Genomic DNA, 26,844 nt, shown 5'->3' with positions numbered 1-26,844 from the left:
TGTTAGAAACAAAATGAAAACAAAGTAGTTTCTTTCCTTTTGTACAGGTGAGTGGCCTGAGATGAGGTGACAGAGGAAGACAGAACCCAGAACATGCAGGACTTAATAGGCCTTATTAACGATTTTAGAATTTAACATTCTCAAATATTCCAAATTTTTTTCTCACTTGGATTAAAAAACAAAATCCACAAACCAATAGCAACAACATTGTAGTTATGTTAAAAATTCTTGAATCTTGAGACAACTGGAAATCTACTTGAAAATATTCAAGAATCCTCCATTTCCTTTAACTCAGGCAAGTCCACCCAGATGGCAGCCACCCTAGCGCTCAGCCTCAACATCCCCCGCTCTGCTTGTTGTCTAAGCCGTACAGTTGGAACAGCGTCAGGATCAGACACGGTGGAATGTCCCCGCATCTCTCCTCTTTCTCGGGTTACCTTCTAGAGCACAGGCATTTAAGATCCTCCAAGCTTTCTTTCAGTGCACCTCTCTACAATAACACCTGCTTCAGGGCTGAAAGCACTTCTACAATGTAGGAGATAATGGGTAATGCAAGATAAAGAAGGCCAGCTGCTACTTAGCTTCAAGAACTTCTCATAAGACAAACACTGAACTACGTACTTGAAACTGTGAAAAACTCTAAAATACGTGAATGTTTTTAATGGCCTCTGAGAGTCGGACAACTTGATCCCGTGTTTTAGATGGCAGGGATTATAGCCCTGATACGAACCTGCATTATATTAGGGGAACAAATCGTTGTTTTCATAATTTATTCCTTGGCTTCTGCTCAGGATCTAAAGTATCAGGGCACATAATGGAAATTGGTAAGGAAGTTACCATCCGCAGTGTCTCCTTCCACCTGTGCTGGAAGCAATGAGAATGACAATTGCTCTTGCATCCTTCCCTTGTAGATACTGCGCGGTGAAGCTCATGACTTTACACTTTCCCAGAGGTTAGCTTATTCAGAAAATCTCAAGCTGGTGCCTCATCAGTGGACCGTTTTGCTCATGTGGCATGTGTGCAGCTGTCAGGGAAAACCTTAACAGCTCTGCAAATTGAGAAGCTGGCTGGGAGTGCCTCTGTCACAGGATTCCAGCTCCCACTTACCCAGCCTCTGGACAACCGTCTACTCTTCAGTGCTGCCAGCCAGACTGACTGAGGCAGAGACAGAAACTTCCACGGAGGCGCTAATGCTGAATACTCCATGCTTTCCAGTGACGAATTTGGAAAACTTCCCAGATTGTACATCTGCCGTAGCATAGTAGCGTGTACTTCCGAGAATAAAGCTTTCAAGGGAGACAGTGAGAACAATCACATGTATTCACAGAGGGAGGGTGATATTTCTTCCTTTTTTCAAGGACAAGTGCCTGCCTCGTTACCCTCTGGCCCTGGCATGGTAGCTGCTGAGGAAGGTGTGTAGTCAGGACTGGTCCAGGGGCACGGGGCCCCGTTGTAAGAAGCCCTGTAATTGGTGCATGGCCCGGTTGGGAGAAACCTCATGATGGTGCATGGCATTTCTGGGTGAGGCGCTATGATTGGTGCACAGCCCTGCTGGGAAAAACTCCGGGACTGGTGCCTGAGACCCTGGGAAACACCCTGTGATTAGTGCGCAGTCCCACTGGCTCTTCTGAAGCAAGCTAATTCAGATGGGTGGGGTGGGTCAAGAACGGAGCCGAACTTAAAGACACTCAGTAAGGTGAAGGAGTCTTCTTTCCCTCTTACCTCCTTTCCTTAACATGTGCAATTTTATTTATTTATTTATTTATTTATTTATTTATTTATTTATTTATTTTCAGTGCGGTGGCCAAGGAGCCCAATGCCAGTGAACTTCCCTTGGTACAGCTGAGGAAACTGAGATATGATGTAATTTTTCTCAGGGCTCGTTCAGGTCCAACTGAGACTTTGTCAATTTCTTTATTGGGAAACTCATCTGACTCGATGATTGAATCTCAAAATTAATATTCAAATTTATTGAATTCCAGGGTCAAAGAGATAAAGAAGAGGAAATTCAGATAAGGGGATAGGAATTCTGGGCTAAGTAGGATTTTCTGAACATTCTTTAAAATGCGTTCTTCTAACATAAAGGCACAGTGAACTCCAAGGAGATTTATTTTACAAAGAAAGGGAAAGAGTATTTTGGGAACAAGCACATCATCTACTGAGGTTTTAAAACCTGATACATCAGTACAACTTTGGTTGTTAAATGTATATTAATGGGGTAAAGAGTGCAAATTCATTGTTTGGGAGCTTCTGATGGGGTCAATTCCAGGCCTGAAATGCAAAATGTACAAGTAATCTCCAAGTGCAAATTCTTCTTAAAACCAGAAGAAAATGAACAATGTGAGATAAAATCAGACTGATGGCTTAAATACTGAAGTGTGCAGAAGGAGGGAGAGACCTGGTCTCTGGGGGCTGTGTTCTGTGAGCAGGAGCCTAGGGCAGCTAGACAGAGTAAGCATGAGACTATAGGTACTTAGTGCAGATGTCTCCTTATAAAGGATGATACCCAAGCACTTTTTGTTGCATCACAACAGCAGTAGGTCTAGTGATGAGGAGAAACTTAGAAACTCAATCTAGATATAATGAATTTTAAAAATAAGTTTCCAAAAGGAAATAAATTGTAGTTTCTCTTAAAACTTATTTTCCTTCTCAACATTGAAGAAGAAAATATAATAGCAAATAAAAATTAGCACGTAGAATGGGCAAACTATAAAAGTAATATACATACTTACAGTTGTTATTGTATACATGGAAAGAGACAGAAATAACATGAAGAACTTAAAATAATATAAATTCTTTATTAAGTTTAAAGTTAACATAAAAAAGGATTTTTCAACATTCCACATTGTAATAGGAAACATTAAGCCATCAAATAACCATGCTATCTGAAGAATAGATAAAGACTTTGGAGTGTTTATTCTTGATATAAAAAGACTCTGTAAGGGGAGAGAATACGTTATGGTTTTGTGTGTGTGTGTGTGTGTGTGTGTGTGTGTCTGTCTGTCTGTCTGTCTGTGTCTATGTGTGAGATTGAAAATAGATGTTTTTAATGTTTCCTGTTGCATGTGCTCTCTTTATACTAAGTAGAATTTTTACTTGACAGAACTTCTCACATTAGTAATTCAATGTTTATACTGGATACACTATCTTTCCTTACGCCAAGGTATAAATTTGTTTTATTCTCTGCTATACTACCAGGGTTTATTCCAGGATTTGGAATAAGATAAATGGTCAATCAATATTGTATGAATAAATGAATGAATGAGTTTGGACTGTTACTGGATGTTTTAAGGTGCACAGATTTAATGTTTAGCAAACATCTACTACAACAAACAGTATACCAGGTATTTATGTATATTTATTTCACTTAATCTTCCCAATAATTTTGAAAGATAGGTATCATCTGCTCCATTTTGTAGATAAAGAAACTGAAGCTTCTAGAGACTATCTGAACCATCTCTGGCTGTTTAGATCCAAGGCCAATATTATTCCCGTCAGCTTCTGTTACCCATAATGGAAACAGATGCTTACTCAATATAAGAATGAACTTTCTAAGAAGTCTAATGATTCTTGAAGGAATGCACTCTCTTATGAGGAACTGAATTATTTGTCACTGAAATTATGGAATCTGTTTGACCATCTGTCAGGAACATATAACAGAGAAGATAGGAAAAGAGGTTGAATTTGGAAACTTCTAATGTTCCTCCCAACTCTAAAACTTTAATTTACTGTCTAGCCATATGCTGAAGTGGCAGAATAATATGGTTCTTCCTCTCTTGGTAGTTTCCCCTTTTTCTTTTCCTTTTAAAGCAGATGTTTGCTATTGTGCTTGTTGCCCCAGGAGAAGAATCTACAGAACAGCAATCAGAGAAAGCTTGCTATCTTTTGGCTTTCCAATCCAAAAGCCTAAACCTTCAAGGGAAGTTGAAAGCTTAGGGACACAGACAAAATATTTGAGAGAAAGATCAAAAAAGAGAGCAGGGGTTTCTGACAAATTTGAAAACGATAATGTTGACTGGTGAATTAGAATTAGATGAATGAAATATGGAAAATTAATGGCCAGCAGAGTGCTTTTGATGCTTCAGAGAAAGGAGTGCTTTTACACTCATTTTTGGGTAGAGCCATGTGGAAGTAGAACTGTTTCAGAAAGAGGGGTTGGAGGGCTTGGGAATACAAGAGAACACATCTGTTTTCAGGTAAAATCCTGAGTAGATAGAAGGACCCAGCAAAACATTGTCTGGAAGGATTATCTAGGCAGACACAGTCAAAGATAGCATCAGATTACTCAAGGATGAAAGGGACAATCCCCACTCAGGCAACTTGGCTCCTCAGGACACTCCCAAACTTGGACACAACGCTGGGAGAAAGAGCAGTCCCTGAAGGGACGAGAATAGTGTAATAGGGGACTTGAAGATTTGTTCTGAAGCCTGAAGACTAACCAAATAACAGATTGAACATTTCATTTTTAACTCTTCACATTCCTGTGTTTTCCTTCTGTTTTTTGCTGGTTGAAATGAAAACACACATATTCCTCTAATGAGAAAAGTTTAATTTGTGTCCTGAACAATTCAAATGTGATCATGTGATGGAGTTTGCACTTTAAATTGGTTAATAATTAGAAAATTTATGTAAAATGCACTCAGTAAAAACTGATGTGCTCTTCCTCTTCCTTTTCATAATCATTATTATCATAGGAAACTTTATGCTTATGTTGCCTTATGTAATTATATTGTTTGATACAAGTAAATTAGAGCTCTTCACTGATTAAATTGCATTTGTTACCTTCCTATTCTAAATATCTGTTAGCCTTGGGTAAACACCAATCCTGTCATACAGATGACATCTCTAAGGGATCTTGCAGTTTTTGTGCTAAGTAATTAACCCATATGCATGTGGTTGTTTACTTAATATATTTATAATGTTCTTTGTGTACAGGGAGATATAAGGCACAAGAAGTAATGGGTATGTGTTTATTAAAGTATAGTTATTGAAAATGGATGTTAGTTTTTAGTTTGAAGTAAGATGTAATTGAGTTGAGAGTGTTGTGGGCAATAAAAAGATGGACTCGAAATGAAAAAAGTGGGATTAACTTGCTTATTTTGAGAGACTGTCTTCATCTATTTTCCATTAATTATTCTAGTGTTAAATGTTTAAAAAAAACCCTAGATTTGGAATCTTATATTAAATTACACCCTTCTGTTTCCCCCAGAAGGTAATGGTTTGCTGCAGTAAGAGTAGTGGTGAAGAGTATCTCTCTACCCCTTTCTCTAAAAACACTTTTTTTTCTGCAGGCTGTACAGAGATTGTCACACTGGGCAGAGTCCTTTGTGAAGCAGACACCAAAAATGCAAGAGAATAAATTGGGAAAATGGGTGAAAGATAAGGCACAGGAGAGTAGGAATAGGCAGGGAGAGTTTTCAGTACGCAATATAGGTCTGACACCTTGGACAGGAGAGAAGGAAGGAGGAGAGTTGGGTTTGAAGGGTTTGGATCACCTTGTACCTCTGAACAAAGACCGATGCAAGATGGTCTGCTAAAGGAAGACCTCATTAGGCAGAAATAGTCTGGTTTGTGCCCTTGCTGTGATCAGTGATTTGCTAGGAGCAGACTGGGGAGAACGTGGCCTTGGAGAGTAAGCCGTGATAGGTCCTGAAGGACTGGTAGCTGCAGGCTGTCAACTAACTGACTTCTTCAATGCAGATTTCTCTCGAAAGGAGATCTGAATGGCATCTGACCATGGCTTCCATAATCACCATTATTTAATTTAAAAAAATGTAACTAATTATTAAAACTTTATGGATACAGATATAGAGTCAGTTCATGAGGAAAGCTTTGGAGAGAGAAAACAGGAAGGGGATGGGATTAGACATATAGACAAGAAATACTTGACCTAAATTATCTGCCAATTATCTGAGAACACTTTATCCAAAAGACTTAATAGTTGCGCAGTCAGAATGAGTCATTTTTCCACACCATACTTGCTAGAGAAACTTAACTGTTCATATGTACACTTTTGCAGGTAACTTCTTTTATATGGATTCTATTAACATCCCAATTAAACCTCTTGGGGCAAGTATTTGAATGCCACTGTGACTATCCGTAGCAATGAAGCTTAGACAAAAATAAAATTCCCTACTTGACTAAAAGAATAAGCAAAGAAGAATTAATTTTCCTGAACTTGCTTTGTTAAAAGGAAAGAATAAGGGAAGTCCTCGTGATTTATTTAAAATGATTGTTATTGATTACTTTTCCAACATGAATGAACCAAGCAAGTGGTTCAGAAGTAAAAAATTATAGCTTATTAGAATCACTTTCCTCAGTTGTGAGGAATACACAGATAGTAAAACTGAATAAAAGGGAGGATAGTTTACAAATCAGTGACTGAAAATGAGGACTGAACCCTTTTAACATCATTTTTTTCTAAACCAAGTGACATAATAATAGAGACCAATCAGAAGATCTCACCCAAGTTCCAGTCTTCTTGAATCCAGTTTGATCCCTTGAGCTCTGGTAAGTTTAAACTATATATTCCCCAGAGAAAATATGAAAACCCTTTCCTACCTGCTATTTTGTCATGAATCTCGCCAATGTTAACCTAAGCCTTCTTGGGCAGAAAACCATTGCTGCAGGTAAGAGCCTGTACAACAACTTGGCAACACTGTCTTCTGGAGCATTTGAACATGGGATGTTATGTGTACAGCAGGCTCTTGCCTTCCTGACTATGCGAGTCTCTTAGGACTTCCATAACAAATACCACAGACTCAGGGGCTTAAACAACAGAAACTTATCTTCTCACTATTTTGGAGGCTAGAAGTCCAAAATCAAGGAGTAGACAGGGCTAGTTTCTTCTGAGGAACTCTCAACTTGTCTTGTAGCTGGCCATCTTCTTCTGCTGTCTTCATATGGTCTTCCTTCTGCACATGTCTGTGTCATAATCTCCTTTTCTCATAAGGGCATCAATCATGGTGGATTAGGGCCCACCCCAATGACCTCATTCTAACTTAATTACCTATTTAAAGATATTGTCTCTAAATACAGTCAAATTCTGAACTACTGGAGATTAGGGCTTCAACATAGTAGTTTTGGGGCTACAAAATTCAGCCCATAACCCTAATTTATATCTGAGAACAGAGGTGTTAGGTAGACCTATATTCTTCTCTCATAGATCTGACAGCTTTGAGCCAGCTATGCCCCATCCGGTTTTGCAGAGAAGTACTGTCTCAGCAGCATGGCTTTACATCCTTCTCGTCCCAATATTCTCACTCCCCATACACACTCAGACTAACAAGGTGACATGGAAAGGGAAGAGATACCGCTTTGTCAGGAGAACAGACTTTGTTAGGGTGTGGAAGGGAGCACTTTATTTTTCCAAATCTAAGAAAGGAAAACCTGAAAAGAATAACTCATTAGAGTTAGATGTGCCTATAAGAAGAGGAAATTGACACTTCTTCCCTAGCTGGACATCTGCATTGACACCAGAATTTCTGTGCTGGTGGAGTAGGGAATGAAAACACTGGGGAGAGATGGCATGGTGGCTTCTGCCAGGCCAAGGTGAGTCTCACACAACCTTCAACTTGAATATTCTTGGGTTTCCAGTTTCTAATATGTAAGGTGGAGTCTGAACAGGCCTGTGGACCTCAAGTTGATAGTGGATGTCTGATGAGATTGTTGGCTGCAGTCTGTATTTGAGAGGAATGCAAGGTAAGGTTGTAGTGGGAGTTGGGCAGAAGATGTGGCTAAATCTCACATGGAAGCACTAATACTGGGGAGACTAGCTAAGAATGAGCCTTGACTAGTTGACAATACCCCATCCATCTTTGTCAAACCATGCACCAGCCAGGTCAACAGCGAGACCATCCAGACAGGAACTGCCTCCTCATTCAGGGAGGCCTCCTAGAGCTGCTTTACTTCATCTCTTTCATTTTTGCCAATATGTGGGCAATACATGTGAGGGAAAAGCTTGTGAGAGCCAGACCAAATCCCCTTTCATTCCATCTTCTCAGGGTGGGGCAGAAGGAGAGAGGGGTTATGAAATGCTTATGAGATTCTGGGTTTTAAGAACTCTAAGTGACTGTTTTAATAAATGAATGAAAGTCAAGATTATAGCTATGATTCTATTATTGAAGCTCACCCAGCAAGTGTGAAAGGTGAGATTCAACAGAGTACTTTGGGGCACTTACTGACAAATAATAACATAGTTTTATTTTTATACCCTAACACATTATGATTTCTCAATAAACTAGCTACTCCTTGCACATAAAGAGCTAATAATATCTCATTTCCTGCTGCATGAGAATTTGACCTTTGGTAACTCCTTAGTATTGTTTTCCTGGTAACTTGATAAAGACATGTACCAACTGCATTGTGAAGCAACAGCGAGTATCATTAAAAACTGACCCATAGTGGCCAGGCGTGGTGGCTCATGCCTATAATCTCAGCACTTTGGGAGGCCGAGGTGGGCGGATCACGAGGTCAGGAGATCAAGACCATCCTGGTTAACACGGTGAAACCCCGTTTCTACTAAAAATACAACAAAATTAGCCGGGCATGGTGGCAGGCACCTGTAGTCCCAGCTACTCAGGATGCTGGGGAAGGAGAATGGCATGAACCCAGGAGGTGGAGCTTGCAGTGAGCAGAGATCGTTCCACTGCACTCCAGCCTGGGCAACAGAGCTAGACTCTGTCTCAAAAAACAAACAAACAAACAAACAAAAAAACAAACAAACAAAACCTGACACATAATTGGCAAATTACTACTTGGAAATTATAAATTGGATCAGGTGCTGAGCAGGGCCCTAGAACTTCCAAGAAAATATGGCTTTTGTCTTTAGCTACCAGGGTGGGTAGAGAAAGACCATCAGGTTGGGGCAGAGTTAGGTGTGTCTGAGCTCAGATTCTCCTTGGGTAGGGCTTGCTGCAGCTGCTTTGAGGGATGGGGGTGTGGTTCCCAGGTCAATGGAGTTATGTTCCCAGGAAGATTATGGCTGCCTCTGCTGTGTAATGCAGGTTGCCAGGGAAGTGGGGGAAAGCTGGCAGTTACAGGCATCACCCCACTCCCATGCAACTTAAAAGGCCAGTCTCACTCCCATATTGCACTCCCCACCCTCCACCTCAAAAGCATCTAGTTCGTTTCCAGGCAGTGGGCGAGCAGCACCCCAGGCTACCAGCCTCCTGACTGAGAAAGCAAGCAGAGCTTTCAGGTTTCATGCCTCCCCACCTGCCCACATCTGCACTTTGTATTCAACCCCTCCCCCACGTTCTGTCCAAGAAACTGTGCAATCGTTTGGAATTGTTACAGAGTTCAGCTGGAGGCTTCCTTCTTCCTGTGGTCTTTTCCCAGTTCCCCTGGCAGCCCTCCCCAAGGACCCCTGTGAGACCAGAAATGGCTTCCCTGGGGACTGAGAGAGCCCACAGAGCTCTTCCTGCTGCTTCCTCTACTCCTGTATTTTGCTTGGCTCTCTGAATTATCTCATCTCCAGGTAAGGTCAAGTCCTTCCTGTAATCTGGATCTTTAGGTTTCCCAGTGAGGGTGTGTGTTCAAGGGGGAACGATCCCCTTTTCCTACTTCCACACTTTGGACACTCACAGTATTTGGGCTGTCTCTCCGGGTCCAGGAGCAATCTGCTTCCTTCAAAGGGTTGGTGGATTCTCTTGGCTTTCCTGGTATGTTCCTGCAGTAGTTCTTGGAGCAAAAGTTCATGATGTGTCTCCACATGCTACTCTGTCCCTCCGAGTAGGAGCTGCAATTTAGTCCTGCTTCCTATCCACCATTTTCCTACTTTCTATCTCTTTAAAAACCTGGTTTCTTCTTTCCTCATTTGAAACTCCTAATTTGTCTAAGAAAGCAGATGCTTCAAAGGCAGCCTGCCTCTGAGAGCAGTTTTGAGCCTGATTCTTATAATCCTAATTTTAAAGACCAAGATAAGTTTAAATAATTACTCAAGATTATACATTTATAAAGCGGCATGACCAATATTCAAGTATGTTATCTGGGAGTATATATAAAGTCATATTCTAATGACATAGAAGATCATTAGAATGATTTTCCCTTTAGTGATTTATATACATAAACTTATTTATTAAACAAATACATAAAAATAACATGATTTTCTAACACTCTGTTTTGAAAGTCCATCTCCCCTGCCTTCAACCCACTTAATCACTTTGAATCAAAAAGAAGATAAATGGCCACACGGTCTGGTTTTTCTTATACCACTCCAGAATAGTTTTACTGGTAAACCACAATCTGAAAAAATAAGGAAATTAAATTTGAAAGCCTATGTTTTTGAGAATAAAAGAAAAATTAACTGAGTATCAACTCTATGTCTAGAACTCCCTAGAAAAGACTAAGAATCTCAAAGGTAGACTAAATCCATGAAATGAATATTTTTTCTTTAGGAAGGGAAAGGGAATGTGAAAGTTCATTTACTATAACCTCTCATTCAATAATCTCAAAGTTCTTTCCAAAATACATCTAGTCTAAGGCATCATTTAATAACACTGCAGTTACAAACACAATTTCTAAAGCATTATTAGCATTTTATCCACTTTTTAAATGGATATTCAGAGCAAGTACAGATTATTGAGACAGGATTGGCACTGAGTATCTTGAATGGTTGCTCTAATCAAGTGGGACGATTCAGGTGTGGTATGGCATGATTCAACATCAAGGGGCTAAATAGTCACCAGAATTGCTGTTCTCCCTTATTGAAATAATTCTAATTTTAATTTCATATTACAAAAGTTTATGTTCAGTTGCTACTGTCTCATAAAAGTATAGGAAGGAAATCTCAAAAATATATATGAGGTTGCTCGATTCACTAAAAACAATTACTTATCTTTATAACTTTCCTGTACAATACCAATTGCTATAATTGGAAGCAAAATTGGTTACAATTAAATAAAAATCAGCAAGGAAAATTTATATAACTGAGTGGATAATTATTTTTCAAAATGATTTAGTATAAAAGTTTGGTGAAGCATTTTTGTAAAGAGACATTAAAGTGCACACACACACACACACACCAGCCTTCAAATCACGCATTACATTTTTCTTTACTGAATTTTAGGGCAGAAGACATTAGAAAATCCTATCATATAATGTAAGGGTTCTACAGAGTATGTCCAAAGAAATAATGAAGTCACTTTTGTCCCATTTCTGATAACAGCATAATACTAAATTTCCCAGTATCTTGACATTTTAATATTTTAAACAGGGAAACAAAGTAAAAGAGAGACTAATAGACAAAATCCTTTTTAAGTCATGAATGGGTCAATTATAAGATGTCTTTTACTATCTATATTAGTTTTCTATGCCTGCTATAACAACTGACATAATTTCAATGGTTTAAAACAACACAAATTTACTATCTCACAGCTCTGCAGGTAGGAAAACAGATGGTTTTGGCTGGAATTGTGCTTAGAGTTCCACAAATCTAAAATCAACATGTCAGCAGGGCTGTGTTTTTCTCCTGGAGGCTTTGAGAAGAATCCACCTCCAGGCTCATTTCGTTTAGTGCTACAATTCAGTTCCAAGTGCTTGTAGGACTGAGTTCCAAGTTTCCTTGCTGACTGTTAGCCCGGGGTTACTCTAAGCTTCTAGAGGCTTTTGCATTCCCTGGTTCTAGGTCTTCTTCACCTTCAGAGTCAGCAATGATGGGTCAAGTCCCTCTCATGCTTTCAATCTATCTGACCTCCCCTTCAACTGCATCTTGCCAATCTCTCCTCCCAGCTGAAGACATTCTCTGCTTTTAAAGGATCATGTGACTATTAGATAAAGCTCACCTAGATAATCCAGGATTATTATTTAAGGTCCCTGAACTTTATTATACCTGCGAAGTTATTTTTTGCCATGTGATATTGCTTGAATCTGTGTCCCCACCCCAAATATCATGTTGAATTGTAATCCCCAGTGTTGGAGGTAGGGCCTGGTGGGAGGTGATTAGATCATGAGGTTTTTCTCATGAATGGTTTAACACCACCCCTGCTATTCTCATGATAGTGAATGAGTTCTCATGAGATCTGGTTGTTTAAAAGTGTGTAGCACCTCCTTGCTCTCTCTCTTTCCCTTCTGCTCTGGCCATGTAAGATGTGTCTGCTTCCCCTTCACCTTCTGTCATGATTCCAAATTTCCTGACACCTCCCCAGAAGCAGAAGCTGCTATGCTTCCTGTACAACCTATGGAACCATGAGCCAATTAAATCCCTTTTCTTTATAAATACCTAGTCTCAGATATTTATTTATAGCAGTTCGAGAATGGACTAATACACCATTCAAGGCAACATGTTCACAAGTCCCAAATATTAGGATGAGGTCATCTTTGGAGGATCCATCTACTTACTGTGCTGCAAAGAGTTGGCCATTTTTCTGTCCTATTGTCTCTCACGTCTGCTAGATGCACCCTTTCACCTCCCACTACAAACTCTGGATGTGTCCCCTAGGCTTTGCTTACTTCTGTATGGGAAGCATATGATGATTCTTGTCAGAAATGGCCTCAGTTTCCAAGGTTCCCATTTTTAGTGAATCCTCAAATCTACTCTTCTGCCATTTTGTGCTGCCCCTTTAATTCTGACAAATGACCTCTTTGCTGCTATTAGTCTGGATATTGGAATATATGATTTTCTCTGTTCTCAACCTGTCTGGGTTGAACAGCATGGCTTTCAAACTTGTCAGTCCCAATCTGGGATCTCTAATTATCTCTTTCTGGAAGGTCTCTGGTTCTGGCCTGTTACTCATCCTTTACCACAAGGCACTGTTGCTCCTTTTTTCATATATCTTAAGAGCTACCACTTGGTATGGAATGTTACAAAAATGTCCTGTTTGTGTTCCAGCCTTATTCACTAGATACATGACACATTTATTAGCTAAATTAGTATTCATGTGTTATGTGATAAATCACAACACTAACTCAAAATAATGTTTTCAACAATCTATATACCTAGGTTAATAGAAAAAAATTTATATAGCATGGATTAACTATTTTCTAGATATTTTTGATAAATTATTCAATGATAATATATAATACATCATTATATTATATTATCAATATAATATGATATATTATCAATGTAATGATATAATATAATGATGTTATATTATCAATATAACATCAATATATAATAATGATGGTACTAATATGTTTGAAATGACTGGCCTATAAAATATTCATCTTGGTGACTTGGGCCATTTTAATTAATGAACTTTATTAATATTGTAATGATCTAAGAAGCTATTCGATAGTTGGTTATTATGCAACCAGTAAGAGTGGGAGAGAACAAAATGTCAGTATTGGGTGGAATTGAGCAGCCCGTATCAAATCTCTTACTCATCTATTTCGAAGATTGCATGATATCATAAGCTCAATCTACAGTTTTTTAAAAATGTCTACCCAGTGTAATTCACTGCAGCACAAATAAGGCAGAAGTAGATTCTTCCTTCAAGTTTCTTACAGCCTATTAGAGAAGGTAACTGATACCTCAGTGCCTATAATTCAAGGTAGAAAGTGATAAACATCTTAGCAAAGGCACAGAAGAAGCATTAAAGGAAATGAGAAGAGAAAAATGACTCCACTATCTGCCTATTTTAGGGTCCCTAACCTTTATTACATCTGCAAAGTCTTTTTAGCCACTCAAAATAACATATTCACAGCTCCCAAAGATTATGGTGTGGTCATCAGTGAGGGACCTAGTCTAGGGTAGACACTTCAGAAATATTACTGAGTGTGTTAAGCTTTCTCACTGAATTTGAATCTTGGTATGTTTGGACTCAGAAAGGGAGTAAAACTAGCAATCGAGTCAAATAAAGAAATGCAAACCACAACAGAGACCAGCCTAGCTAGACCAGGGGATAGGGGGACATACTATCTTGTAGTTAGGCCCAATGTTAGGGGTACATCTTCAAGTGTAGCACCATGGCCTAAGGAGGAGTCCTAGACATCAGAGATGCACAGGTGGGTCATTCTACCAGGTAAATCACCTAGAAGAGCGGAAGTGAGAGGATTTAAGATTGGCATATAATTAGCTTTTGGTGTGACCTCAGAATCAGTGCAGCCATGGAGCCTGCCGCTTACCTCACTGACCTTCCTTTTATGAGTTACCCCAGGAAATGAGCCCATCCAGCATCCTGGAGCTGGTTCCATATTAGGTGAACATATTAGATGATTCAAGTGGACCCTGAGGACACAGGGGACTACAGTGCATGCTGCAATGAGCCTCCCATGGCCTTGTCATGATCAAAGCACTCTTGCTATCTCTACTGCACCACATAGCTCTCAATGGGGTCCTTTTCCAAGAATTGCCCTCTGTGGAAGAAAGTAGTGTATCCCTGAGTTATGCCCCCTTCTCACATCCAATACTCTATAAGAGAGTGCAAAGGCCCAGCATCCTTGCCTTGATGAATTACTCTGAAGGTTAATGCCAGCTGAAGAGTTCACCGAGGATGGCACAAGGTATTATCTACTGTGAATCATAGGTTGGTACAAAAGTAATTGTTGTTTTTGCCAACCTGATATATCACCGCTCAGATCTCTGCTAACCCTGCGTCCCTACCTTCCTTACAGGTGCTATTTCTGAGAACGCACCTCAGTAGTCCTCCAGACAATGTCCATTTCAGAGTCTATTTCCTGGGAAATCAGACCGATTGAATATTTAAAAAATTCAAAACAAACCAAAAAATATACAAGACCCCAGCACTTATGCATCATACTTAAAAATTTCTATATTGGGCCGGTGCAGTGGCTCACGTCTGTAATCCCAGCACTTTGGGAGGCTGCAGTGGGAGGATCGCTTGAGACCAGGAATTTGAGACCAGCCTGGGCAATATGACAAGATTCTGTCTCTAGAAGAAATGTTAAAAAAAAATTAGCTTGGCATGGTGATGCACACCTGTCATGCCAGTTACTCAGGAGCCAGAGGTAAGAGGATCACTGGAGCCTGGAAATCGGAGGCTACAGTGAGCCATGTTCATGCCACTGCATGCAAGCCTGGGTGACAGAGCAAGACCCTTTCTCAAAAAAAAAAAAAAAAAGACTGTTATTAATATACTACACCACAGTTGGGTTATGGATACATAAACCTCATATAACTTAACCACAAAGTTAGAGATATTTTTAGTTTTTAAACCTTTGGTAATTTAATTTGACCCATAAGATAGTATACTTTGTTTTTGTTTTTAAGACGGAGTCTTGCTCTGTCGCGGAGGCTGGAGTGCAGTGGTGCAATCTCCGCTCACTGCGAGCTCCGCCTCCCACGTTCACGCCATTCTACTGCCTCAGCCTGCCGAGTAGCTGGGACTACAGGCACCCACCACCATACCCAGCTAATTTTTTTGTATTTTTAGTAGAGACGGGGTTTCACCGTGTTAGCCAGGATGGTCTCGACCTCCTAACCTCGTGATCCACCTGCCTCGGCCTCCCAAAGTGCTGGGATTACAGGCATGAGCCACTGCACCTGGCCGATAGTATACTTTCAATATCTGTCCTGTTCTAAGCTAACAGGTGTGTTCTTTGGAGTCAGACAGATCTGGGTATAAATTTCTGTCTTTCCACTTGCTAACTATGTATCTTGGCACAAGTTACTTACTCTCTCTGAGCTTCTGTAAGGTGAGGATCAATGTTACCTAGCTACCTCATAAGATTTTTGTGAACATTAAATGAAATATCCTTCCTGCAGAAATCTAGCTCATTGCCTATCATGTAAGAGGCAATTTTTGAATGTTATGGAAAAGCTGCTCTTTTGCTTATAATCTTCTTCAGAGAATAATTGGAACAGAATAGCAGGGAATGTATTGTTTGTGGGTGGGTATTTTAAATAAATATAAAGGATAATAGAGAAAACAATGTCAAATAAATCCCCTTTTCTAATTTAAAAGCAAACTCAAAATAACAAGGTCCATACTAGAAGGCATGGTTGGCCTGGCTGTGGTCTATCTATGATGGCAGGTAGATTTGATGAGCCTGAGATGACATGTCCACCTGCTTTTATAAGGAACTTCCTATGAGGTGAGTGTCACCTCCTCTGCCACCAGCATGCCATTGCCTGGTGGTCCTGAAAGTGTACCTTGCAGCTGTCAGTGAGCAAGAGAGGGGAACAATAGCTGCTGGTTCAGGTGTTCTTCCTTCCCAGCCCACACTGGAATCTTAGAGTCCCCAGCCCTCAAAGCCCAGCATGGAATTTCCACAGGTGTCTGGCATACCACTGGTGTGGGTGGTTTAAATATGGTTGCCCTACTCTTGCTACTTTCCATCACCTGCATAAATCAGGCCACCATAAAGTTTGGATGAATTTCTCAAGCTTTAGTCAGAAGAAAAATGCATATACTCTGTCTAAATAGAAGGCCATAAGAAAAAGCATTAACTTTGATTTGCAATAAATTATTCAATTATTTTTGTGAATACCTATCATAGTGATTTATAAATATGGGTGTATAGATCATGAATAAAGGAGCATAAATCAGTGATATTTGGCAATGTAATTGAATTGACACAGGATAAAGGTCTTGCTACGGTGGGAAAAAATCACTTCTAATTTTTACATCACTTTGCAGTCTACAAAGCTCTTTGGCATATATTAATGCATGTAATAATCCTTTAAGATAGGTAGGTTACATATTCATAACCTCATTTCGCAGAGGGTCATACTGAAACTCCAAAATATTAACATGAAAAATATAATTAACTTCCATGCTCCCAGACAAAAGCTGAGCAAAGACTACACTGTTCCTCAGCACTTGAAGGAAGCCTGTGCAGACGCTTCATGTGGACGCCTGTGTGTCTTACAATTTAGTCTAAGATTTGGGGAGGAGAATGTTGACTGAAGAACTGGATGCCAGACCTGTCCCCCACTTTAATTATCCTTACGTGGCGGTTTTGTGATTGGCGCAGCAGAGCAAGACCATCTGTTCTTCTCTGTAAAGTAGGTAACAATTTTAAAGGATTTTCACAATCCTAATGCCTCTTCCCTTCCGGCTAGTCTCTCATTGGAATATCTTCTACAACTGAGCTCACTCCCCATTTACAGAGATTTGCTGGGCATCCCTGCCTGATTGTCCACCTGGTACTAGCTGATCATGTCCAATCAAAATCTACCCCTCCACATGTTAAGCAAATTTATAGCCAGGCACCAGAAACTTTTAATTGCAATTAAGTAGTTAATTATTCACTTCCTTGCCATTTATTACGTTTAGTGTTTCTAACAACAGTGATACCATTCTCTCGCCCCCATCCCCAAGCAGGATACCTGCAATCATTCATTTAATTAATGCAAATTGTGGCAGTTCTGGGCACAAAGAGCTTCATTAGTAGAGGGAGTCTGACACATGGACAAATAAGAACAGGATGGTGGATGTTTGCAAAAATAGCATTGATCTTATAAAGAAGGTAACAGTTACATCTGCTTCTGAGGAAATAAACAAGGACTGCTGAGCTGTTTTTTGCATAAGTTCACCTGGCAGACAGGCAGCAGGCAGGAATTCCAGGTCTACAGACAGCATGAGCCAAGGCCCAGGCCACAAGAGTCCGACTTATTTGGGGAATTTTGAGTTCCTCCATATGTCTGGATGTGGCCAGAGCGATAGGTGGAGGAGGTTCAGATTGCAGGCATTTGTGTGTGTTTGCTAAGAAGGGTGGACATTATTCTCTACCCCAGTAGTTAGCCCTGGCTGCATAACTTCACAACAAAGTAACATCGAGAGCTTTTCATAAATAAGTCCCCTCCCTGCCAACACACCAACAAACAAAAGACTGATTTAATCCTTCCACTAGAACCTGGAAATTATTTTTTATAGTGCCAGAGGTAATTCACAGGTGATTTCTAGGTTTTAAACCAGAGAGCAACACATTCAAATACAGTCATATGCTGCAGAATGATGTCTGTCAACAATGGACTGCATATACAATGGCAGTCCCATAAAATTATAAAACCAAATTTTTACTGTACTTTTCCTGTTTGAATATGTTTAGATGCACAAATACTTACCATTGTGTTACAACTGCCTATAGTATTCAGTACAGTAACATACTGTACAGGTTTGTAGCCTAGGAGAAACAGACTATACCATATAGCCTAAGCATGTAGTAGGCACTACCATCTGGGTTTGTGTAAGAACACTCAATGACTGCATAATGATGAAATTGCCTAACAACACATTTCTTAGGATGTATCCCTGTCATTAAGTGATGCATGACTATAGCTAGCTCCCCGACACTATGGAGGTCACCTAAGAGAGACAAGACCCTAGGTAGATATTCTGCTATTTACTTTAGCTCTTCCATCTCTTTGGTCCCTTCCTTTTTCATGTGTGGCAAGTCATAAAGATTGTACCCTTGGTTTTCTTGAAACACTTCTCTCTTTTCTGTTTTCATGATGGTTTCTTGGTCATTACTGTACATTCTGCTTTATAGGGACTTGTTTACTCTATGCATAGAAAAAATAAACTAAATTAATACTTTTCAATTAAATTTGAAATAATGAATTAAGAATTGCCATTGTCTTTAGACATGAAGAATTTTGCTTTTCAGCAGTTTAATAAGGAATTGTGAGAAACACAAACTTGATCTTAATATTTCCCCACAGTGTTTACATGCATAGACCTCTGACGCTGGAATCAGACAAAGATGGAGTTGAATCCCACCTCATCATTTACTAACCGTTGGACCTTGAGAAAGCTGCTAGACTTTTTTGAACATTAGTATCTTTTTCTGTAAAATCACATGGCTATTGCAAAGTATAAATAAGATAACATAGGGCATGTGTTATGACCAGTAAACCAGTTGGCTATAGTAGATACCCAACAGGTATTACTTCCATTTACATGTATTAAAGTATTTAATTCTATAAAAACCTGTAAAGTATGACATTTACATGGTATATAGGAGAAAAAATCAATTTTTTTAGATAAAATTGACTGTATAGAATTAAACTTTAAATGGACACATACTATGAATATAAAGAGATAGAGTAAATCCTAGACAAAAAGACTTAATTTAAGGTTTAAGTTTATCTAGAGAATAAAAGAGTCATTCAGGAAAAGGTATTAGCAGCCATAAAGCCTAGGAATGGGGGAGACAATGAGGCAAACATGGTCAGTGCCTGTCTAAGCCTGTGCCTGATCAAGGACTCATCCACTCACATCTTGTAGACAAGGTGAGGACATCTGACTATAATGACCTGATGCCATAAATATTTGAAATATAAAACTAACCATGCCTCTTTTGGTTCCAAGTATAGTAAACATCCTTCTGATAATAATGTGGCTTTTCTCATAGCTGGCAAGTATCTAGTCACTTTGAAAACAAAGATGTTTTTATTTTATTGGATCAACAGGCTTTTTGAGTTCTACATCAGAGTCTCATAAGTCCTGTTAGTGAGGATTAGTGTTTCTTGGTCTAATACTTCTAGGGCACTCATGAGGCCAACATTCTGAGACATTCAGGGACAAGCCACAATGAATAGTTTTCCCTGGCCATTATATGACTTCTTTCTGTTGCTTCACACACCAAAGCTGTTGCACAAAGTGATGGATGGCATGGGTGAACCTTGAACCACACATCTAGCTGTAGTTCTTGTTCCTAATTTACAGTGGAAATACAATGGAGGTGACTGGACACTTGTTGGTTGCCTGAGCTGTGTACTTTTCTGCATTTTCCACTTCCCAATAGCTTCTTTTAGGGATTCATGTGGTTTTAGAGAAGCTGAGGCCATTATTGCTCCAGAGATGGGACACATGACCTACACAAGTCAATCAGCACATCCCAGCAATCTGGCTACAGTGATTGGTTTCCGGTGGGCATGTGAGCTAATCCAGACCAGTCAGACCGAATCCTAGGTCTTCTTCTTGGAGTTGGAGGACAAAGGTAAGTTAACTTCCTATAGATGATATGTGGGTATGACAGTCACACCTGGGACTGCTGAAGTCATTTTTTTCTATTATGTGGGAAGCTATCCTAAAGAACATACCATAGAAGGAGGAAAAAAAACCAAGACAAATTCAAAGAGGCAGAGACAGAACCCCAGTAATAATTTAGTCCCAAGAATCAAACTATGCCTGAAGCCTGACTCATGTGTGACACACACGTGCACACACACACCCCAATCTAATAAATCCTTCTGTATTATTTAAGTTTAGTTTAGTTTTATACTACTTGGAAAACAAAGGGCACTTATCATTAATTTTTATTTCCTCATTTTAAAAATAAAAATCTAGGAAAGTAATAAAATTATAAAGTACATAGTTTCCTTGTATTAAATTACCCAGAAAAATATCATATTTTCATTCTTTTAAAATAATTCTAACACTTTAAGCAACTTTCTGATGTCATGAAGAAGAGATGTTTATTGTGCTTACTTATCTCTATTCTCAAGTCAATACAATCTCGGCACTAAGTTTTTATGTTTAAGCATCTAAATCTGAAACTATTGTTTGTCAAGAATGCCTGAAGGATATAACAGAATGTTCTTGGCTATAAACAAGTTTTTTCAAAGGAAAACGTTGTCATGTAGGCTCTCAAAAAAAAAATCTCAAATCATCAAGGGAAGTAGGATAAGAGGTGGTCTGTTCTCATCTGGTCTCATCCTGGGAGACCTGTCTCCCACACAGACTTAAGAGTTTCAAATATGTGAGAATGAAGACAGCATGCTAAACCATTTCAAAAGTGCTGAGAATCTTAAATAAAACAATAGGAATTTATGGGAAGCCACTGGATATAGCTTCTTTTTTACATAAAAACATCTGTCATGCCACTATTTTTTCACACAAGTTCACTGTAAATGTTCAATTTTTGAGGACTGGAACAGATACCTCACTGGGTTTTGCCTGTGTATACGTGTGTGTGTGTGTGTGTGTGTGTGTGTGTGTGTGTGTGTGCTTGTATGTGTACATAAAAATAGGAAACAGAAATCCATTTCCATACTTTAACTTGTTTTGGACCCCCATACCACAGGGATTTAAAAGAAATCTGCCACCATTGCCTCTGTCAAGGCTTTACTTACCTATTTTTGAAGCCTCAGAAGAGAATTCCTTTTGGTCACCTGCTTACTCAGGAAGGAAAGAACCTGGTCTCTTTTACCTTCTCTAGTGAGCACCTGAACTGCCTTCCCAAGGGGACCATATGCAATGGTGAAAAGGCCATATACAAAAGAAAACTGGGGCCTATTAGGAAGAGACTACTCTCTAACCAACCAACGCAGCACACATTTCCACTACAGTATTTATAAATCCAGAGAACCTTACTTACATCCCTGCCTCCCCAAATAGAGAATACCAAAGGAGTTAACAGTATGGTAACTGCTTTCTTCGTTGTGTCGGAAGTGTAAAGTATTGGGTCAAGAAATGTATATCTCAAGGATAAAAAACCTATCCTCTTCAAGACACGGGTACTGAGTAGAAACAATTTCTTAAAGGAAATGTCTATGATTAGATGTTCTTTATATTGCAAGTAGAGGAAAATGCCTGGGGACTCCCATGCTTGTCCTGTTCTCTCATTTAAATACATTGAGCCCCTGAAGCCACACACACATAATAAAAAATGGGCCTCATAAGAGAGAACGGCTGATTTCTTTAATCCGTGAGCAAGAAATGGGGTACAGTGTTTTTTATAATAAGTATTCATTCTCTATGTCTCTTCTCGTCAATGGTTTTTTGTTGTTGTTTATGGTATAGACTTGATTCTAATTGTGTTGTCTTTGCTAATCTGGATTATCCAAGACTAGCTGAAAAACATATATTTCATCCTTAGACTAAAACTTTTGTGGAAAAAAACATTGGGAGTTTGCTTCCACTATAATCAAGAAGCACAAAACTGGTGGGAGGAAAAGGAAAGGAAAATATATCATTTTAAAAATCAAGTGACTCTCCAGTCAGTAGCTGGTTTCCTTAACATGCAGAAGAACATAAAAGAGGAGGCAATCACACTTCCTTGTCATGCAGCTGTTTGTAAATGTAATGCACTCATGCAGTATCTAAATACTCAGTGGGTTTCTGACAACCCCATCCATCACAACACAGCCCTCACCATGCCACTGCCCCAGATGGAAGGATACAAAAGCACGGTCATTCAAATAAGCCAAACAGAAGAAAAAGGTGGATAGATTGTGAAGCCACTTAGGTCTTTGACATAACTTGGCAATGAGTGTCTTTTGTACTGTTTTTTTTGTGTAGTCATGATTATACATGCTAACATGGTTACACATTATGTAAAAAGTCATTTGATAAAATACCTTTCCCCTAAATGGATGAATAAAATAATTTAGAAGATGTGTCATTTTTAAGAGGTTTATTCTGAGCCAAATATGAGTGACCATGGCCTGGGTCACAGTTTCAAGAGATCCTGAGACCATGTGCCATGAAGATGTAATTTTGGTCCTCTTGGAAGCTGAGGCAAAGTTAGGAGTGCGGGAGGTTTATTAGGAGTTAATGCCTGTGAAGGTAAAAGAGGAAGGAAGCAGAATTGAGGACGAAAAGCCTTCAGATGGAAATGCAGATCTCATAAAGTTTAGGTCAAATGAACAGGGAACTCTAAAGCAGGAATTGTCCACTGGAGGAGTTCTGTGTTGGGCAGAAGTGGCTAATGTTAACATCCCAGTCATGCTCAGTCATTGGCTGGGGACTCCCTGGAGTGAGTGAGGCTTTGCCTTAAAAGATGAGGCAAATCTTGCATGAGACGATCAGCTTACAGTACTCCTTGATAATAGATGACCAGGGACATCTTGAAGGGAGATCTGAGTGGTAGACCTTTCTGATTACCAAGGAACAGAAAATGGTTAGTCTAGGATTAGATACAGAATTAGTTGCATTTATTGAGATCCAAAAATAAGTGCTATTGATTTACTTTGTCATTGTTATGACTGCTATCAAGAGGCACCATCCTGAATTTATAGACAGATTGAAGGAAAACTTGACAATTAGTTATAATGACTATTCTCTTTAAAAAATGAATGAATTTACTATGAACTGATTAAAATTTTAAAAATATTTTTTAAATTAAGGAATACATATATAATTAATTGATTAATTAATAAGTATACGCTTATATCTCTTTCCTTCACCTTTCACAGGTTTATTTTTAAGCAAATTGCTTAGGCATGTCAATAGTCAGGGTGATGTGGTGTTAATTTTGTAATTTTTATTCTAGACGTGTTATCATAGATGATTGCGCAGTGTGGAATCTTGAATAAGCATGTTCTTACGAAACGTATCATTTAGGAAGACAACATGCATGGTGTAATGGAAAGAACTCTGGGCAGAAAGTGAGAAGGCGTCAGCACTGGTCTTGAATTTTCCTTTCATAGTTAAAATCTAAGTTCTAAATTCAAAAAAATAATTTACTCTCTACTAAAAATTCCATTGTTCCTTTTATCAGTATGTCATAGACAATACCAAAAGGTTTTAAAGCCTTTAAGGATCCTTTCCATTTCTCAACAAATATTTAATGAGTACAGAACTGATGTTAGGCCCAGTTCTAGGCACTGGGGATGCAAAGCAAAGTCCATGCCTTATTGGAGTTTATGGTTTCATGGGAAGGGCATCGAGAAAAAGAAATGCAATTTGTGATGGACACAAGTGCTGTGAAAAACAATGAAGTACACCAAGGAGGCAGAGAATGCCAATGTGACTGTGTGTGTGTGTGTGTGTGTATGTGTGTGTGTGTATGTGTGTGTGAGGTGGGGCCTGGATTTACGTAGGGTGTTCAAGGGCATCTTCTAATGGAGAAGAGAATGTTGGAGCCCAAATCTGGATTATGTGAATGGGAAGACAGAGGAGATGCGGGGGCAGAAGGAATGGCAACTGTAAAACCCTGAGGCAGGAATAGCTGTTTCCTGGTGGTAAAACCCTGAGACAGGAATATCTGAGTTTCCTGGAGGAACACCTTGAAAGTAAGTGTGGGTGGATGATTGTAAAAGAGGCAAGTTGGAGAGGTGGGGTGCAAAGGCAGGGTATATCATGTGAGGCGGTAAAGGCCATGCATGGAGTTTGAGGTTCATGCTAAACTTGAAGGAAAGTCCCAGATATTTTTAGATAGGATGGCCTGATCTGATTTATTTTTTAGAAAGATCACTGTGGATGTGGTGAGGAAAGCACCAGCGGGGTGGCGAGCATGGAAGCTGGAGGCTAATGCAACAGATGAGTAATGAGGATGGCTTAGACAGGAATGGTGGTAATGGTCTGCTTCATGATACATTTGGAAGGTAGAGTTGTCTTGAATCGAGGATGAACTGGGCATAGGATGTGAAGATAAGAAAAGAAGGATAAGAATGACTCCTAATCTGAGTTACTGCATAAAGTGTGGCGATCACATCTGTGGGTTGGTCCTCATTTTTGGTTCTGCTAATGTAAGCAATGAGTGGGAATTTCTTTATATATATATATATTTATATATATATATACAGATATATATATAAAGAATATATATATAAAGAATATATATATATAAATATATATATATTTTTTATTATACTTTAAGATCTAGGGTACATGTGCACAATGTGCAGGTTTGTTACATATGTATACATGTGCCATGTTGGTGTGCTGCACCCATCAACTCGTCATTTACATTTGGTATATCTCCTAATGCTATCCCTCTCCCCTCCCCCCACCCCACAACAGGTCCGAGTGTGTGATGTTCCCCTTCCTGTGTCCAAGTGTTCTCATTGTTCAATTGCCACTTCAAGGCATGAAAAGCGGTGTGCTGCTCTGTATTTTCTACTCAATACTTTATTCTTTACTTACTCACTAACAACACAGTACTTGACCTTTGATAGGAGTTAAATTTTTTATATATCCTACAGGATCCTCTTTTGGGGAGATAGAGGGAATTTAGGTTGTAATTGGGCATGTGCATCAGAGGAAAGAAAGGATTGGCAGTGATGACATTCAATCAAATCTAGCACCTCACTTGAAGTGGGTTTGATGAATAAGCCTCCTTTCCTTTGGTAAGGAGCTGGAACAATTTTTAGATAAGGATTCCTTGTAGGAACTTGGTAGCATTAAAGTTCTATTTGGCACCATAATATAAAAATTATCTTTTTGAGAAAGGCACATAAATATAGTGTTAGGACTTCCTTTAGAACAATAACCCAGGACAGAACCAGGTCCTTCGTTACCTGAGGCTTCAAGGTAAGGGATAAATAATTATACATACAAAAATTAAAATGAGAAATTATTTAGTATAAGAAAAAAATCACAAAATGACAGATATTTAAAGCTGATAAAACTACAAACATAACAAAATATGCATACATAATCTTCCTTCATAAATGCACTGCCCAATATCTCTCTGTAATGCTTTTTCATACTTTTTTTGGTTACGTAGACTTTGATTGTCTTAACATAAAATGATAATCATATCATTTGGATATAAAGATAATTCTGTTTTTACTTTGGCATGGTTGATCAAACTTTGAAAAAGTTTATAGTTGGAATGCATAAAATGTGTCTTCTCACACACATATATTTACTGTGTGTATGGTTACAGAACTTATACAAGCACAGGAGTTCTAATGAATGAATGAATTAATTAATTAATTATTTTGAGACAGAGAGAGTCTTGCTCTGTCGCCCAGCCTGGAGTGCAGTGGCGTGATCTCGGCTCACTTCAACCTCTGCCTTCTGGGTTCAAGCAATTCTCTGCCTCAGCCTCCTGAGTAGCTGGGATTACAGGCGCCCACCACCACGCCCAGCTACTTTTTGTATTTTTAGTAGAGACGGGGTTTCACCATCTTGGCCAGGCTAATCTTGAACTCCTGACCTCATGATCCACCTGCCTCAGCCTCCCAAACTGGTGGGATTACAGGCGTGAACCATTGTGCCCAGCCGAATTCTGATAAATTCCATGTCACATAATTTCCGTAGAAAATCATGTGGTTTGATGGTTAAACGTTTGAAAGACTAGCTTCCAGCTCCATATCCTTCCAACATTATCCTCCTCCCCTACTCATGGAAACTTATTGCTGGGCACATAGACACCTTTGCATCATAGTGAGCCCTGACCCTGCATCACTGTATCAGGATGCTGGGGGAGAGGGCACAGGAAGCCACCAGACTATTCTTGGAAGCCATTCCTATACTGGGAAGGCTATATGAAGAATGATCTATGAACTTCATAAATACACCCCTTTAAACTAAAACTGAATACATTCTCAGCTTAATTTCCCTGTGGCCCAATCACCAAAATGCCCACGTTCACTCCAGTGCCATCTTGTCACCCAGAAGTGTGACAGTAATGGAAAGGATAAGAGAAAGTGGTCTTAATTTGCATAAATGATTTTGGCAAATTATGCAAAGCAGGTGATAGTGTGAACACATTGGTGGGACCTCTCCCAGCAGCTTGGAAGGGGCATGTACAGTAAGGGGCTCTGAAATGTATGCTCCTTTTTTTTTTTATGGTAAATCTCTTTTACTCAAAAGTTACAACTTGTCTTACATAAGGCCTAAATAAGCAGTAAGCTATGAAAGGGCTTCAGACTGATAGAAGGGAAATTTGACCAAGAGTCTCTTAGAACATTAAAGAGAAACAAGAATAAATAGTCTGCTTAGGAGATAATAAGATTGAGATGTTTTACTTTAATGTTTCTTAAACCTATTATGTGTATGTGCATGTGAATTTCCTGGAGTTCTTGTTAAAATGGAGATTCTGACTCAGTTTTGGGGTAGAGCTTGACATTCTGCATTTCCAGTAACTTCCTAGGTGCTCACAATGTTGGTTTTAGTAACACATTTTGAGCCACAAGATCGTAGAATAAGTTCAAGTAGAAATTTCAAAAGTCTCTAGAATTAAAAGAAGAGTTGAGGTTGGAAATAGAGGTTTTGGATGTCGTCAGCGTAAGCTCATCTAAGTCATAAGGATATTTAGAGA

General features: G+C 39.2%; 1 protein-coding gene across 5 annotated transcripts in view, besides 1 other annotated feature; it reads right to left on the bottom strand.

The window, feature by feature from the left end:
* The window catches only part of NKAIN3 (sodium/potassium transporting ATPase interacting 3), a 750,799-nt gene that overhangs the window by 307,915 nt on the left and 416,040 nt on the right, over window positions 1–26,844 (bottom strand). The gene's annotated exons all lie outside the window — the stretch shown is intronic.
* Window positions 20,679–20,867: a silencer, noted in NCBI's record as "fragment chr8:63583430-63583618 (GRCh37/hg19 assembly coordinates)". NCBI's record gives its function as "represses an EF-1alpha promoter that drives an FKBP-Casp9 reporter gene in an ReSE screen in phorbol 12-myristate 13-acetate-treated (for megakaryocytic differentiation) K562 erythroleukemia cells {active_cell/tissue: K562(+PMA)}" and the evidence as "EXISTENCE:reporter gene assay evidence [ECO:0000049][PMID:32094911]".

Source organism: Homo sapiens, chromosome 8, assembly GCF_000001405.40.
Source record: "Homo sapiens chromosome 8, GRCh38.p14 Primary Assembly".
NCBI classification, from domain to species: Eukaryota; Metazoa; Chordata; class Mammalia; order Primates; family Hominidae; genus Homo; species Homo sapiens.
Note: the sequence above shows the minus strand (reverse complement) of the source record. Positions and strands in the feature narration are given on the sequence as shown.